Genomic DNA, 17,420 nt, shown 5'->3' on the forward strand with positions numbered 1-17,420 from the left:
TTAGATTATTTTCTTTTGTTTTTTAACATGTCATTGAAGCTTTTGTATTTATTTTCTGTGAGTGTCGGTCAATTTGCACATGCTCAGTTTACTTGAATTCCTAGCCTTGGCAATTAAATAGCATGTGAAAACATTGGTTTTCTGTTATATTTTCTTTTTCAGTCTGATTTTTGCCTGGCCCTAGTCCTGTTTTTGCTTTACTTTTAAAGATTTTACCCATTACGTGGCTGTCCTATATCACGTGGTCCTATAATATATCTATAATCTTGCCAAGAACTCTTTTTTTTCCTTATTACTGTGAGAGCTTTTATATCCAGTATTCTCTGCATTCATATAGTACCTATCTCTGTAGTCAGCATGGTAGTTAAGAGCATGGACTCTGAAACTAGACTGCTGAGCTCAAATTTCAGCTTCACATTACCTACTAGCTGTGTGGCTATAGGTTATTTAACTTCTTTGTGCCTCAGTTTCCCTAGTTATAAAATGAGGATAACAGTAGAACTTACCTCATAGGGGCTATTGGGAGAACTTAAAAAATTTAATGTATGTAAAGTATTTAGAATAGAGCCTAGCCCATAATGCTATAGAAGAGTTAACTATTATTAATTATAGTGGTATTTAAATATTCAAGCATTTGCCTCAAATTACAATGAAGAACCTACTTCTATGTGCTAAATTTTCCTTGGAAAAATCAACAGTTAAACTTAAATATGATTTTCCCATTTAGAGAAATCCTGGAAATTTTTTAGGGAAATAAAAAACTATCGAGTTAAAAGTATCATTACTTTGAAGCTTGTCAGCTTACATGAATGACACATGGAAGTTTTCAGTTTAATAAAGAAATAACGAAATAACACTTAAATTTACTAATAGTTTTTTTTATAATCTGCATTTTAATTGAACATTCCTTCATAAGAGTCTTAGTAAATGCTCAACAGTGTAATATGAGACCTTATTGTGTGGCCTTCCTATTAACTTTTGATAAAGTGCCTTCTAAGATCTTCTATAAAAATTGATGGAGGTCTTAAGATGGGTGAGAGGGCATCTACTCTATTCCTGAAGTCCTTTTCTATCCTTTATTGAGATTGAGAACAGCTGTTCCCTGTCCTTTATTTTTCTCTTTTTCATAGCCTTGACAACTATTCATTTTTCCCCTCAGTCTTCTTCAGATCAAATCTTCATATTTCTTCTGATCTTTTTTTAACCAGTCCTGTTTTCCAGTCTTTTGAACATTTCATCCCAGTGGATTAAAACAAAAAACAGCCCTACTTCGTATTGGTCTGCTTTACTAGTCTGGAACTGATATCAAGTGATATGTATACATTCCAAAGTTTCTTACCTATATGTATTCCTTCAAGCTATTTCTGACCCTCCCTTTTCCTCGTATTTGAAATGGACACCATTGTTGTCATGACTCACTCTAAGTAATTTAAAATTAATAGACAAATGAACAAGAGGCTATGGGTCATAAGTTCCAAGCAAAGCAAGCATTTAGAAGGGAGCACTTATTTATAAAGAATTGTGAAATGTTTTCTGAGTGGCCGCTGGTCATCATTTCAACTTTTTGACTTCTCAAATGCTGTTTCCCTAAACTTTACAATAAATGGGAAATATATTTATGTTGATTAGGTTGAATTTTGACCCTGAGCAGTGTCACTTCTACCTCCCCCATACCTCTCCCTTCTCTACTTCCCTAATCTTTAATTAGGGATTGAGGGTGGGAAGAAAAGGGACAGAACATGTATTTTAGCTCCAGTTAGCTATAACTTCATACCTACAGGACACAAACAGAAAAGATCCTAGCCAAGAGCCAAGATAGAGGTTAGTCATTCCTGTTGCAACCGTATCTGGCTCTGAATTATTACCTTTCTCCAAACCACTGAAGTACTTCAGAGATGTGTTTATTGTACATCCAATATTCTACCTGACTAGGAGGATAGATTGGGTTGGACACACTTTTCCCAGACTTTTGTGGTATAATTTTGACCTAATCCCCCTACCTATCCAAAAGGCCTATGGGATATATTTTTATCCACCTTTGATATAGGTATTATCAATCAGATATTTTTCTAATATGTTATTTACTTTGTTTTAGTGTGGAACCATCAGAGAATCTACAATCCCTGATGGAGAAGAATCAGTCCCTGGTAGAGGAGAATGAAAAATTAAGTCGTGGTCTGAGCGAGGCAGCTGGTCAGACAGCCCAGATGTTGGAGAGGATCATTTTGGTAAGCCCCCAAGAATAAACTACTAGCAATCTGAACATTTACTAGCTTTAGTTTCCAGAATATTTAACATGTATCTCATTATGAGAGACAGGTTATATTGAAAGAAATGTATTTGTATTACCATATCCTCCAGGGAGCCCCTCTGGGGTAAATATGTGGGCTTATAATCAAACATACAGAAAAGTTAAAAGAATTGTACAGTGAACACCTATGTATCTACCACAAAGAATCTACATAAATCCCATTTTAAAATAGATTCATTTAAAAATACCAGAAAGTAAAGAACCAAGTACCTCTGTCACCTTAAATCCTGCCTAATCTTTATCCATAATACCAAGTAACCATTCCTTCTCCAAGATTTTAGTTATTTTCCATCTCTCTTCCCCTAATGTTGTCACATTTCATATCCCATACTAACAGCTGCCATGGTGAGATACAACAGCTTGGAAATTAATTTTAATTCATTTTCCATGTGATTGATTTCCAAATAGTGGATCACTATATAACTGATTACACGAGTTCTGACTCCTACTACCTGCTTGTCTGTCAGTAACCTCCTGGATCAGTGCATGCTGACTCTATCACTAAGGTTTTTCTACTAGTCTAAATACAACTCAATCTTTGATAGCACGACTGTTGCCAGAAGCAAAAATAAGTTTCCACCAAAATATAATTGAACCTCTGTAATGTATACACCTTCATGCATCAGTGTGCTCTCTAGTCAAGGAAAGATAAGCTGCTTAAAGATTTCTTTCAAGTGGGCTAAATCCTACGTCCATTGTATTGTCCATTACTAACGGAGGGTGAAAATGGGATATAGGGGATTTTTATATACAGTTTTCTGTCTCCAGTGCTGTATTTATGCTTTGAAGTAACTCTAGAAGCTGTGTTTCACATGTATGTGAATGAGGCTGTTGTAACAGAAACTACTTCTTATTCTATCCACATACTCATCCGACCTTTATAAGGTTGTTACAGTGTCTGCCTGATAGGCTTATTGTTTGATATCCTGTCAGAACTTCATAACAAGCACAACATTTTTGTCCTATATAAACGATTCTTTCCAGATCTGTTATAGTATCCAGCATGTTACAGATACTGTGATTGAAATAAAACTGAAAATATCAATCACCCTTCCCAAAACGTAAGCTGCCTTCTGCTGTTTCTTCTTTCTCTACCATCATTCTTGTGCCGTACCCTTTTTCTTGCTGTCTTTTGCTAAAACTAGCCTACCATATCAAATAGTATAACTTAAAAAAAAAATCTCAGCTCAAATTTAGTGTGAGGCCCTTTTATGTTTTAAATGCCCTTATGCTGGGGCTAGGGAACAGCGTAGTGTAGGAGGCAGTTTAAAGTAAGTGGGGTTTTTTGTTTGTTTGTTTTTTGTCTTTTTTTTGTTTGTTTTTTTTGTTTGTTTGTTTTGCAAACAGCAGGGACTAACATGCCAGGAAATATTGCTTTTTCCCCTCAGTTGCAAAGTTCTCTATGGAATTAAGGCTTCACACTCCACCCCATAGTCTGAGTTTCATGGCAAGCATAAAACCTAGCTGCTCGGATGCTATTTTTAGTAGCTCATGTTGACTGAAGGGCTAATTTCCATGACTCTTTTAAAAAACACATTTTTCACTGAATAACCAAAGCCCACTAAATCCTCTGTTACAGCAAAGGAGACAGCCTCTCTACCTAGCTTTTAATTCATAGGAGTAGGAGAGCATAATTATGTGAGGCTGTCAGGCACCGCCACTGATGATCTCCTGGGTCTTTGTTGCAGACAGAGCAAGCGAATGAAAAAATGAACGCCAAGCTAGAAGAGCTCAGGCAGCATGCGGCGTAAGTTGCCCACCAGATATTTGTTAGCAACCTATAGCATCTTAGTATATAATCGTGGAGCCTCTGGCCTTTGTCATATGAATAACCCTTGGGTTCTTTTTGTTTGAATTTTCAGCTGCAAACTGGATCTTCAAAAGCTAGTGGAGACTTTGGAAGACCAGGAATTGAAAGAAAATGTAGAGATAATTTGTAACCTGCAGCAATTGATTACCCAGTTATCGGTAAGCCAAGTAGGGGCAGTGTAAATAGGCATATCACTTTCATTTGTTTCTCTTGACACATACAAGCCTTTCTAGCTCTGTGCCTTTTGCTGAAACAACTAGATTGTGAGCCGCTTTTGGACAGAGGTCGTGGATCATTTGATATGATCTGAATATTGAGTTTGTTAAAACACTCATAGGTTACATATACAATGCACATTAGTATTTCAGTATTCTAATCAAATAACAGAAGCAACAACATAGCAGTGCAAAATTGCCTAGGTAGCAAGAGCAGCAGTCATTGATTTGCTGTCCTCACAGTGTAGGCTAACTTAAAAAGAGGACTTGTACCATACCCCAATTTTAAATAAGCTAAATTCTGACAGATAGCTTAAGGCAACCAGGGAATACCATAAGCCTCTTTTATAACCAATAATAAGTAAGTTTGAATGATTGTTCTACCATAAGTTCCCATTTTTGTTTATTTTTAGAACCATTATAGTAGTGGCAGGTGTGTTTTGGGGGTGGGGTGGTTATTTGTTGTTTTTCCCAGAAGAAAAATTTTCACAATCCCACTATCCCTAAAAATCTATTTTTGTTTTGGTGTTCCATCTCTTAGTCCTTAGGCATATATGCTTTTAAAAAAAACATTGAAATCGTACTATAACATACTATGTTAAGTGGTAATGGTTGGTTTTGTTCTGTCTACACTCTGTTGTTTATTATTCTGAAACAGTGATGTGTATGCAGATGCCTGGTGGTAATTCCTAGCTCTTGGGCAGAGATTTTAATTTTACCAGAACCATGAGACTGTAGTCCCTGGTCTTGCCCAGTGTTTTCTAGAGTTGTCAATAGTGTGTCACAAAATTATCCACACATAGATTTATTCTTGAAGAGAATATTAAAAAAATGCCATGCAATATTGTCAGGACTTGTTATGATGGCCAGCTCTAAGAAATTAAATGAGTAAACTCCCCAAAGACTATTAGGCAGTGTTTTAGAATAAGGAGTACTGTAAAGCTATCATGAGCAGTCCAAGATGACAGCTCATTTATCCAACAAACAGGGTACAGTAATTGAGAGCCTGGGCTCTAGAGCCACACAGACCCTGGTTTGAAGCCAGTTCTGCCACTTCCTAGCTATGTAATCTTACTAAGTGCTGTATTACTATCAAAAGGAAAGAATTTAAGTGATTCAAATAGGGGTTAAAAGCATTATTCATCTGGGCGCAGTAGCTCTTGCCTGTAATCCCAGCACTTTGGGAGGCCAAGGTGGGCGGATCACCTGAGGTCTGGAGTTCAAAACTAGCCTGGCCAAAATGGTGAAACCCTGTTTCTACTGAAAATACAAAAATTAGCCAGGTGTAGTGGCATGCACCTGTAGTCCCAGGTACTTGGGAGGCTGAGGCAGGAGAACTGCTTGAACCCAGGAGATGGAGGTTGCAGTGAGCCGAGATTGTGCCACTGCACTCCAGCCTGGATGACAGAGCGAGACTTCATCTCAAAAAAAAAAAAAAAAGAAGAAGAAGAAGCATTATTTAGCTGATGCACTCAGGGTACACTTGAACTCCAGGTAACTTCCCAAGTAAAGCAAGATTGGAGCTTTATAGAGTAAAGAGAAGAAAGGGTTGTATGTCCGTGTGGTTTAGCTCAGGTAACAGTTTTTAATGTTAATTGATGTGAAACTTTTGGTTGGAGATTGTTTCATTTTTTTATACCTCTTCCTCAGGAATATACTGATGCAATCCTATCCGGATAACTGTTATTATATTTTGAGAGTTGTTCTTACAAGCCTTGTAGTTTCTCAGTTGGTCAAGGTTCACAGGTGGGAGAGGTGGCAAAATAGGGATAACGGGGAAAGGAGGCGAGGGTTGAAGGCAAGGAAAATTGGGAATCCTCTCTCGTGTGCTTTCTTTTATATCAGCAATGTAAGCAAAGTGCAGTGGGATCATAAAACAAAGGATGATTAACTGTTAGTCCAGAAAATTCAGGAAGGCATCATAGAAGAAACTGGGTCCTAAAAATGAACAGGAGTTTGCCATGCAGACAAAAGGGAAGGGACAGGCCAACTCTGGGCACACTGCTTACGAGTTAGCCCTGCTCCACAAGGAAAAATTTAAGAGCTTTTATATAAAATAAATAAGGTTTTTTAAAAAGGGACTAGACTATATATAGAGGAAAAGATATAGATAAAAGCAAAGAGGTATGAAAGTTTAAAAAATGGTAAGAACTTCAATGTGGCTGAAGTATAGAGTACTTGTTAGACAACGGCTATCACAAGGTTAAATTTCACAATTATAATGCCACTCAAATGCAACTGAAACATCTGATACATGAAAACCTTGTGTGAGCTGCCTCAGAATTAAGATAATCTAGGCTGCAGAAGCCCACTGGGGCCAAAACTTACAAGCTCAGAAATAGTGACCCAGGGTACCCACCATTGTTCATGGCCATCACACCAATCTTAGAGGATTAATACCACCTCATTTCTGGGGCTTCGAGTCACATAGAAAAGATGAAGGAAACCCGTGGAACCAAATTAATAAAATAAAGCATCCTCAGTGAGAATCTGGCAATATGACTGGTGCCTGGTGTGCCTGTAGAGGGAGTTGCTAGTGGTGGCTGGCTCAGAGGAACTCCGTAGAATCGCTGTGTCTGCCACTTAAATGTACTTGGCACACACAGTAGGAGGGTGCTAAAGATTGCCACAAACTGATAAAGTTCCTGGCTTCCATCCACTGTCACAGTTAGGCAGAGTAAGCCCTTTTATCCAGGAGTCCTGCTGGACTCCTGAATCAGAGTTCTCCACATCTATTGTTCGGAGACCCTCCCAGCTATATATTTTTTTGGAAATACACAACAATGTATCCCATGGCTTTTATTAAGACTCACTACAGTGAAAGCAAAATGTTTCAAAAGTAAGTGCTTGTGCCCTTCATTCTGGATTAAAACTATTTTTATTTTAAGTGACTAGTGAACACCCCCTTTTCCATTATAAAGGCAACCATTGTTCCTAGATATTCTTCCTGGGGCTTTAAGCGCTAAACTGTACCATTTCTTCCTTTAAAATATAATTCAAGCAAACCTCCTTGTGCAGTTACCTGTGAGGAAATTCAAGCAGTCCTTTCAGTTCCTACAAAATCAAATGATCTTTTTTGTTTATATCCCCTCCTCCAAGACCAGTTCCATAAAAAGCATTTTGCATGCCCAGTAACGGTACCGCCTACAAACACAAACTTCATCTTGGAGGATATTGCTGGTTAATGTAGCACAGTGTACCCTTGTTCCCCTAACCATCACCTTTATGAAATCACGTTTTATTTTTAAGAGGTTCTTGGTTATAGTCTTAGAATCGGGGGAAAGAGGGCTGTGAGACTGAAATAAATCTTATTGTCATATATTTACATTTAGGATTATAGAGGCAGAATTCTGCCATGTTCATGCAGAACATGTCACCATAGCCCTAAGCTTAAACCTTAGTATTGTAAAATTTCACTGGGCCAAAAGCCAAAGATAAACCCAGAGTAACAACATATCTTCTTCAAGGATTAACCCATCTACTTTTGATCCTAACTCTGGAAGGTACTAGAGAAAGTCTCCAAAGGCCAGTGTTTTAGGCCCTAATAATCTAGGACAGGCCTCTGATTAGTCCTTATACTGAAAATTGAAACATGGGAGGGAGGAAAGGGTAACCATTATAGATTTTTTTTAATCCTTTTTAAGAATGATTTAGGGCCGGGCGCGGTGGCTCACGCCTGTAATCCCAGCACTTTGGGAGGCCGAGGCGGGCGGATCACGAGGTCAGGAGATCGAGACCATCCTGGCTAACAAGGTGAAACCCCGTCTCTACTAAAAATACAAAAAATTAGCCGGGCGTGGTAGCGGGCGCCTGTAGTCCCAGCTACTCGGGAGGCTGAGGCAGGAGAATGGCGTGAACCCGGGAGGCGGAGCTTGCAGTGAGCCGAGATCGCGCCACTGCACTCCAGCCTGGGCGACAGAGCGAGACTCCGTCTCAAAAAAAAAAAAAGAATGATTTAGTATGTCCTGCACTTGGAGAATCACCAGTACTACAAATCATCATGAGAAAGGATGTGGGAATACTGAAGCTTCCTTTAAATTCTCTTTGAGCCTCACTGGTTGGGAGTTTCTGAGCAGAATAAGGGAAATGCTTCATAAATAGCACTTATTAAGGATCTCTTCAGGCCAGGCGCAGTGGCTTACGCCTGTAATCCAAACTCTTTGAGAGACCGAGGCAGGTGGAACCCTGGAGCCCAAGAGCTTGAGATCAGCCTAGGCAACACAGTGAGACCTTGTCTCTACAAAAAAATAAAATAAAATGAGACCATCCTTCATGACATAGTGAGACCCTGTCTACAAAAAAGTTTTTTGTTTTTTTGTTTTTTTTAGTATTTATTGATCATTCTTGGGTGTTTCTCAGAGAGGGGGATGTGGCAGGGTCATAGGATAATAGTGGAGAGAAGGTTGGCAGATAAACACGTGAACAAAGGTCTCTGGCTTTCCTAGGCAGAGGTCCCTGCAGCCTTCTGCAGTGTTTGTGTCCCTGGGTACTTGAGATTAGGGAGTGATGATGACTCTTAACGAGCATGCTGCCTTCAAGCATCTGTTTAACAAAGCACATCTTGCACCGCCCTTAATCCATTTAACCCTGAGTTGACACAGCACATGTTTCAGAGAGCACGGGGTTGGGGGTAAGGTTATAGATTAACAGCATCCCAAGGCAGAAGAATTTTTCTTAGTACAGAACAAAATGGAGTCTCCTATGTCTACTTCTTTCTACACAGACACAGTAACAATCTGATCTCTCTTTCTTTTCCCCACATTTCCCCCTCTTCTTTTCGACAAAACTGCCATTGTCATCATGGCCCGTTCTCAATGGTCGCTGTCTCTTCAGAGCTGTTGGGTACACCTCCCAGACGGGGCGGCCGGGCAGAGGCGCTCCTCACTTCCCAGATGGGGCAGCTGGGCAGAGGTGCTCCTCACCTCCCAGATGGGGCGGCCGGGCAGAGGCACTCCTCACCTCCCAGACGGGGCGGCCGGGCAGAGACGCTCCTCACCTCCCAGACGGGGTGGCCGGGCAGAGGCGCTCCTCACCTCCCAGAGGGGGCGGCCGGGCAGAGGCGCTCCTCACCTCCCAGACGGGGCGGCCAGGCAGAGGCACTTCTCACATCCCAGACGATGGGCGGCCGGGCAGAGGCACTCCTCACTTCCCAGAGGGGGCGGCCGGGCAGAGGCGCTCCTCACTTCCTAGACGGGGTGGCGGCCGGGCAGAGGCACTCCTCACATCCCAGACAATGGGCGGCTGGGTAGAGGCGCTCCTCACCTCCCAGACAGGGTGGCCGGGCAGAGGTGCTCCTCACTTCCCAGATGGGGCGGCCGGGCAGAGGCGCTCCTCACCTCCCAGACAGGGTGGCCGGGCAGAGACACTCCCTACTTCCCAGATGGGGCGGCCGGGCAGAGGCGCTCCCCACTTCCCTGACGGGGCGGCCGGGCAGAGACGCTCCTCTCTTCCCAGACGGGGCGGCTGCCGGGCAGAGGCGCTCCTCACTACTCAGACCGGGCAGCCGGGCAGAGGCACTCCTCAGTTCCCAGACGGGGCGGCCGGGCAGAGATGCTCCTCACATCCCAGACGGGGTGGTGGCCGGGCAGAGGCGCTCCTCACTTCCCAGACGGGGTGGCGGCTGGGCAGAGGCACTCCTCACTTCCTAGTCGGGGTGGCGGCCGGGCAGAGACGCTCCTCACCTCCCAGACGGGGTGGCGGCCAGGCAGAGGCGCTCCTCAGTTCCCAGACGGGGCGGCCGGGCAGAGATGCTCCTCACATCCCAGACGGGGTGGTGGCTGGGCAGAGGCGCTCCTCACTTCCCAGACGGGGTGGCAGCCGGGCAGAGGCACTCCTCACTTCCTAGACGGGGTGGCGGCCGGGCAGAGACGCTCCTCACCTCCCAGACGGGGTGGCGGCCGGGCAGAGGCGCTCCTCAGTTCCCAGACGGGGCGGCCGGGCAGAGGCGCTCCTCACTTCCCAGACGGGGCAGCCGGGCAGAGGGGCTCCTCACATCCCAGACAATGGGCGGCCAGGCGGAGACGCTCCTCACTTCCTAGATGGGGTGGCGGCCGGGCAGAGGCTGTAATCTTAGCACTTTCAGAGGCCAAGGCAGGTGGCTGGGAGGTGGAGGTTGTAGCGAGCCGAGATCACGCCACTGCACTCCAGCCTGGGCAACATTGAGCATTGAGTGAGCGAGACTCCGTCTGCAATCCCAGCACCTCGGGAGGCCGAGGCGGGCAGATCACTCGAGGTCAAGAGCTGGAGACCAGCCTGGTCAACACGGCGAAACCCCGTCTCCACCAAAAATACAAAAACCAGTCAGGCTTGGCGGCGGGTGCCTGCATTCCCAGGCACTCGGCAGGCCGAGGCAGGAGAATCACGGGAGCCGGAGGCAGGGAGGTTGCAGCGAGCTGAGATCAGGGCAGTACAGTCCAGCCTCGGCAACAGAGGGAGACGGGAGAGGGAGAGGGAGAGGGAAAGGGAGAGAGGGGGAGGGGGAGGGGGAGAGGGAGAGGGAGCTGGGTGTGGTGGTGCACACTTGTAGTCCCAGCTAGTCAGGAGGCTGAGGTGGGAAGATCATTTGAGCCCAGGAGGTGGAGGTTGCAGTGAGCTGAGATGGCAGCACCGCATTCCAGCCTGAGTGAAAGAGCGAGACTCTGTCTCAAAAAAGAGCGAGGGGAGAGGGGTCTCTTCACTTCTCACATTAAAGGTACTAAAAGTTAAGTTTCAACAACTATGTAATGTTTCATAAGGGTGATATAGAGACTCCATGTACTAACCCTAAATTCTTAGCTGTTGAGCTAATAGCTTTTTCACCTATGACCTCCTTAAGTACATGACTTCCTGGAAATAATTCTTTTTTCCCAGGGCTTTGAAGAATCACTTACACAGAAGTGGTAATCCATATCTTACAATACCAAATAAAGCCTAAATTCCAGTGGTGAGAACAGAGCTTGCTAATATGATAGCCTATAAACAAATTAGTCCTATTAAGTAGTTTAGTTTTCCCTTCTAGGTGGCATTTGTTTGAATGCCCCAAAAAATAATTTGCCAAAGAATTAGTGCTTACCCTTTTCCTCCTAGTTACCTGGAGTAGCACCATATCATCTGTTCTTTTTTTCCCTTTTTTCTTTTTTTCTATTTTTAGATTTAGGGGGTACAAGTGCAGTTTTGTTACATAGATATATCGGGTAGTACCGAAGACTGGATTTTTACTGTAGCCGTCACCTAAATACTGTACTTCGTACCCAATAAGTAATTTCTCATCCCTCACCATCCCCCAACCCTTTCACTCTTCCAAGTCTCCAATGTCTGTTATTCCACTATGCCCATGTGTACACATTATTTAGTTCCCACTTATAAGTAAGGACATGCAGTATTTGACTTTCTGAGTTATTTCACTTAAGATAATGGCCTCTAGTTTCATTCAAGTTGCTGCAAGAGACATGATTCCATTCTTCTTATGGTTGAGTAGTGTTCCATGGTGTGACTATTACTATTCCAGTAGTAGTCCATGGTGTATCAATGGATGATCAGATAAAGAAAATGTGGTATGGTATACACACACCACATACACACTTAGATTGATTCCATATCTTTATGATCAGTTCTTATTTACATGAGGGACAGAGGCTGCAGTACCTTTATCTGACTTCAAGAGCACACTTTTCTGGGAGTACCCATCTAAGGCATTTATTTCTTTCTGTTTTTTGTTTTTGTTTTTGTTTTTGTTTTTTGATTTTTGTTTTTTCTTCAAGATGGAGTCTTGCTCTGTCTCCCAGGCTGGAGTGCAGTGGCACAATCTTGGCTCACTGCAACCTCCGCCCCCCAGGTTTAAGCAATTCTCCTGCCTCAGCCTCCAGAGTAGCTGTGATTACAGGTGCTCGCCACCACGCCCGGCTAATTTTTTTTGTATTTTTAGTAGAGACGGGGTTTCATCATGTTGGCCAGGCTGATCTCGAACTCCTGACCTCTTGACCTGCCTGCCTTGGCCTCCCAAAGCGCTGGGATTACAGGCATAAGCCACCGTGCCTGGCTAGGCATTTATTTCTTTATAGAGGAAGATCCTGCTACCTTGACTGACTATAAAAATAAAAAATAACCATTCTATTTACTTTTCTGATGCATTGCCATTATTTGATATGTCTGTTCGTAGAATGGTATGTCCCCATAAGAACTGGCTAGGCTTGTACATTAATAGAGGTATACTAAGCGGTAGATGCATAAAAAGAAAGGGTAGAGTCCATAAAATGGGTTAAACTTTGGCCTTTTGGAATGGCTAAATGTTTCACTCTGGCCCAAATGTCTCTGGCAGGGCAGGAGAAGTGCAAGAAATATGTCAGTTGCCACATGACCTTATTTTTTATAAGAGCTACACAATTGTCCTTTATGAAGAAGAAAGACTCTTGAGAGATGGGAAATGGAAACGTGACTATTGGGGTTTCTGTAACTATAAAATGGGTCCAATATCTTAAACAGTCTCTGTATACACTTAAAAAAAATTAAATAACCAATATAAAATCCACCAGTAAGCTTTACTTCAGACTCTTTCCCTAAACCAAAACATTTGTTACTGCAGGATGAAACTGTTGCTTGCATGGCTGCAGCCATTGATACTGCGGTGGAGCAAGAAGCCGTAAGTAATTGGCCCCTTTGTGTAGAACCAGGAGCTCTAACTGCCGTTTCCTATAATTTATCACTCAACTGAAAAAGAGAACCTGTGATTGTTACCATCCTCCATAGAATGCCTGTTAAATCCAGAAATCTTTAGTGTAAATCTCAGCTTCATAAAATCCCTACCTTGGATAGGCTCTACCACTAATAGTATAACTGGTAATGGGGGGCAGGACTTCTCAAGAATGTAATGTTCCATATTTGCAACCCAGCTGACTGATTTCTTGTTAGAGGCTAGTATTCTGCATCAACCGTCCAGCAAGTTAAAAATGAGGAGAGGAAAAAATGAGGAAATTATGGCAAAGTCAAAAAAGCATTAGAGGAGAAACAGAAGAGAATTTTTTCTATGGATGAGATATTAGGGGCTAAAAGAACCAAGGAAAATAATTTAAGTGTTCAGATCACAAGGATAGATAAAATGTGTTAGATGTTGACTAAAGGTTATAAAGACAAAATGAAAGGCTGGATGATGGATTGCTTGAGACAGGCTTTTCTCCCTAAAATGAATCTATGTCAGTAGTTTTCACATTCTGAAAGAAGGAAAATACTAGGTCAGGTACTAGAGGTCAGCTGTGTGAGAACAAATGAACCCTTTTCTCAATTTCCAGGACCTTCTCTCCTGTAAGAACCCCTTGGAATGAGGTAAAAGTAAGAAATGCCATCCAGATCAATAAAGGAAAGAGCAAAGAAAGTTAGTTGATACTAAAAGAGTCCATTAAAGTATATAAGAAATAAGGTGCTTGAGAGAGCAGGGAACTAGGCTAGCTATTTATTTCAGATACTTAAAACAAATGTATGCAGAGCCACTGTTGTAAAGGAACAGAGATATTGTTAATGGAGAAGTGCCTGTGAGACTTGATGAAATAGTGCCTAAGGAACTCCATTTGCTTGTTTCTCTTATAAATCATTATCCTGATTTTTTTCCAGCAAGTAGAAACCAGTCCAGAGACGAGCAGGTCTTCTGACGCTTTTACCACTCAGCATGCTCTCCGTCAAGCGCAGATGTCTAAGGAGCTGGTTGAGTTGAATAAAGCGCTTGCACTGAAAGAGGCCCTGGCTAGGAAGATGACTCAGAATGACAGCCAACTGCAGCCCATTCAGTACCAATACCAGGTAAACTATTTCCTAGGGCAGTATTTGTTCATGTCTACAGTCTCTTAAACTGAATGGGAAGAAAACAACAAGCATATAATTTTTGATGATGAAAAGACAACAAAATGTATATAGTATAATGGGAGTTGTACTGTTGGTTTAAAAAGAGGATACATTCAGGACAGGGAGCATGTAATTTTGTTCCATTTAATCTAATGCCTTACCTTATGCCACAGGTATTTAATAAATAGTTTGATAACATTATAATAAATGTGGTCCCTACTTATAGAGAAATTATATTCTAATAACTATGCTTGGATTCTGAGAAAAAACACATCTTTTGGTAAATAGTCTGGGTTATAGTATGAATTATGAAGACACTAGTGGATGTCACATGACTTGACAAATGGCTAAACTTTTTTCTGATGATAGTTCTAAGTGGCCTTTGCCAATTAATAGTCAGGTCTTTACTTAAAGGCAAATCCTTGGCTTTCAGGTTACCCACAAGAAATGGCCCTTGCTCCAGACTTATTTTCCCTTGCAGACCAGTGTTTCTCACTGTTTGTAATTACAGACAAAGGGATATTAGGATGGGTGGTAGGGGGAAGAATGGGTTGTTTTCCTGTCCAGCTATATCCTACTACTCCCAAGGTATTATGTGTTTATATTGAGGAACAGCTCTAGTATCCATGCTTTCTTATTCCCCCATGGCAACTGTTCATATGACATACTTTATTTCCAATCTACAACCATTAAAAACACTTTATTACTTTACACTGTACAGTTGTTCTCACATCTGAAATAAGACACAGGGGCAGGGAGAGCTTTTGGATTGGACTGCAGTTGTCCTAGCACCCTATCTATCCTGGGAAGTAGCCTTTTGAAGACAGAAGTGGGGAGGAGAGAACAGTGGACAAGAGAGGTGGACAGTTGGCCCAAGGATGCCCTTGGTCCCTTCCCTCCTGAGGGCCTTTTCCAGGGGATCCCCCAGGGCCCACGACTGCAGGACCTTCACCAGGAAACCAGGCTGAATGGGAAGAGGGTTCACAGTATTGGCGGGGGCTGGGAAGTGGGGCCAGGATGAGGAGGAAGGACAGCTTCTGGCTTTCTTCCCAGCTGCTGGGGGTTGGAGCTGTTTTTTGGCACTGTCTACAAGGTCTTCCTGGGGTTGGGAGGAGGAGGAACTGGGGGTTTAAGATTCTTTCCTTGTGGAGTTAGGATTCTTTCCATTTGAAGAGGGGCCATCTGGTCTATGGTGAGGTTCCCAAGGCATAAACAGTCAGGGTCTTCTGCCTCCTGCCTCCCCAGGACTTCCACCCCTGCCTGGCTGGCATCATCTAGACAGCCTTTTGTAAAACCAAGACAAGTGAGAGAGGTGAGCAGAGCTGGAACCAAGCCAGGAGCAGGGAAAGAAAAAAATGTATGCTTTCTCCAGGCCCTCCAATTTATCTTCCTCTTCCAAGAGGAGAGACTATAGGGTTGGTTTTTGTTGGTGGTGGTTCCCAATCTCAGAAGTCCAGATGAGGCTAGTGTTTTCTACCTGTTCTTGGTCTAGACAGCCCCAGTCCCTCCCCAGGCTACACTAATGGCTGGCCTAGATCAGTAGTTGGCAGATTCTCATGCATGTCAGAATCATCCGGAAGGCTCCTTAAAACCCCAGCTTGCAGGGCCCCATTCCATAAGCTCTAATTCAGTGGGTCTTGGGCGGGGCCAATAATTTGCACTTCTATCAAGTTCCCAGGTGATATTCCTGCTGCTGGAATGCAATACGAGAACCACTGGCCTAGAATGGTGCCCACAGTCACATCCTCAGCAACCTGGTGTCTCCTGGGCAGTACTAAGGAGCTGGGCCACAGCTGGCAAAGCCCAGCCTTAGGGGTACCAACATCACCTGGGAAGCTGCTGGGAATGGTCTTGGGGTGAGCGCCCGGTGCAGAGAAGTAAACTAAGGCACAGAGTTCAGCGGCAGAGCTGGGAGAGGAGCAGGATACCAGGGCCCAGTAGAGAACGGATGGGGCTGCAGGACCCTACAACAAGTACTCATGCTTTTTTTAAATTGCCAGCTCTCATACGTTTTCAGAGTAAAGACAAAAAAAGTGTTTCTGCTAATTAATTTTCACCACTTTTTCCCCCTAGGTTAGAGGTTGCTTCCAAAATAATAACTGAGTTGCCAATAGAGATTTTTTTCCCTTTTGTTATCATGGTCTTTTTTAACTTTTAAAAACTTAGTTTTTTGTAATGCCAGCACTTTGGGAGGCTGCAGTGGGCAGATCACTTGAGCCCAGGAGTTTGAGACCAGCCTGGGCAACATGGCGAAACCCTGGCTCCACAAAAAATACAAAAATTAGCCGGGCCTGGTGGTGTGAGCCTGTAGTCCCAGCTACTTGGGAGGCTGAGGTGGGAGGATCACCTGAGCACAGGGAGGTGGAGGCTGCAGTGAGCTGAGATCACACCACTGCAATCCAGCCTGAGTGACAGAGTGAGACCATCCCAACAAAAAAAACTTTGGCTGGGCATGGTGCTCACACCTGTAATCCTAGCACTTTGGGAGGCCAAGGCAGGTGGATCACTTGAGGCCAGAAGTTCGAGACCAGCCTGGTCAACATGGTGAAACCCTGTCTCTACTAAAAATACAAAAATTAGCTGCATGCCTTTAATCCCAGCTACTTGGGAGGCCGAGGCGGGAGAATCGCTTGAACCCGGGAGGTGGAGGTTGCAGTGAGTCGAGATTGCACCACTGCACTCTAGCCTGGGTGACAGAGTGAGACCCTGTCTCAAAAAAACAAACAAACAAAAAACTTAATTTTTATCTATGTCAAACAAATGCATATATATCATTTTTTAAAGTCAAATACTATAATACTTAGAAAAATCAAAGCAGTCCTCTATTCCTATTCTGACATTTACCTCCATATTTCTAGATAAGAATTGGCAGTATAATTATGTTACATTTTTTAGATAAATATCTATTGACCTCCCATGATGGAAGACAAGAACGTAGCTCTCTTATCCCACCACCTGTGCACACTGCCTCACCTTCTTCTTTCAAAATGGTTATATCACCCTTTTTGTTTAAATGAGTATTTAGTGTTTAAATTTTTCTGATTACATAAATATGTTTAAAATTGAGCCATATAGTATGATTGCATTTCCTTTCTTGTATAGCTCTTTGTATTTGCTAGAGATAATAATCTCATTTTTTCCATTTACTTAGTTTTCGATATACCTGTCAATAATTTTATCTCCAAACTTCTTGACAAAACTGTAAAACTCATCCCAGCACTTTGGGAGCCCGAGGCGGGCGGATCACGAGGTCAGGAGATAGAGACCATCCTGG

At 43.1% G+C, this 17,420-nt stretch overlaps 1 protein-coding gene across 1 annotated transcript in view; it reads left to right on the top strand.

The window, feature by feature from the left end:
• Positions 1–17,420, top strand: part of KIF4A (kinesin family member 4A) — a 130,783-nt gene that overhangs the window by 49,600 nt on the left and 63,763 nt on the right. Inside the window, exons 11-15 of the mRNA NM_012310.5 lie at positions 2,096–2,228; positions 4,000–4,058; positions 4,174–4,279; positions 12,897–12,953; positions 13,919–14,104. Coding sequence (NP_036442.3) covers positions 2,096–2,228; positions 4,000–4,058; positions 4,174–4,279; positions 12,897–12,953; positions 13,919–14,104 — 541 coding nt within the window. The remainder of the gene's footprint in view (positions 1–2,095; positions 2,229–3,999; positions 4,059–4,173; positions 4,280–12,896; positions 12,954–13,918; positions 14,105–17,420) is intronic.

This window comes from Homo sapiens, chromosome X (assembly GCF_000001405.40).
Source record: "Homo sapiens chromosome X, GRCh38.p14 Primary Assembly".
NCBI classification, from domain to species: Eukaryota; Metazoa; Chordata; class Mammalia; order Primates; family Hominidae; genus Homo; species Homo sapiens.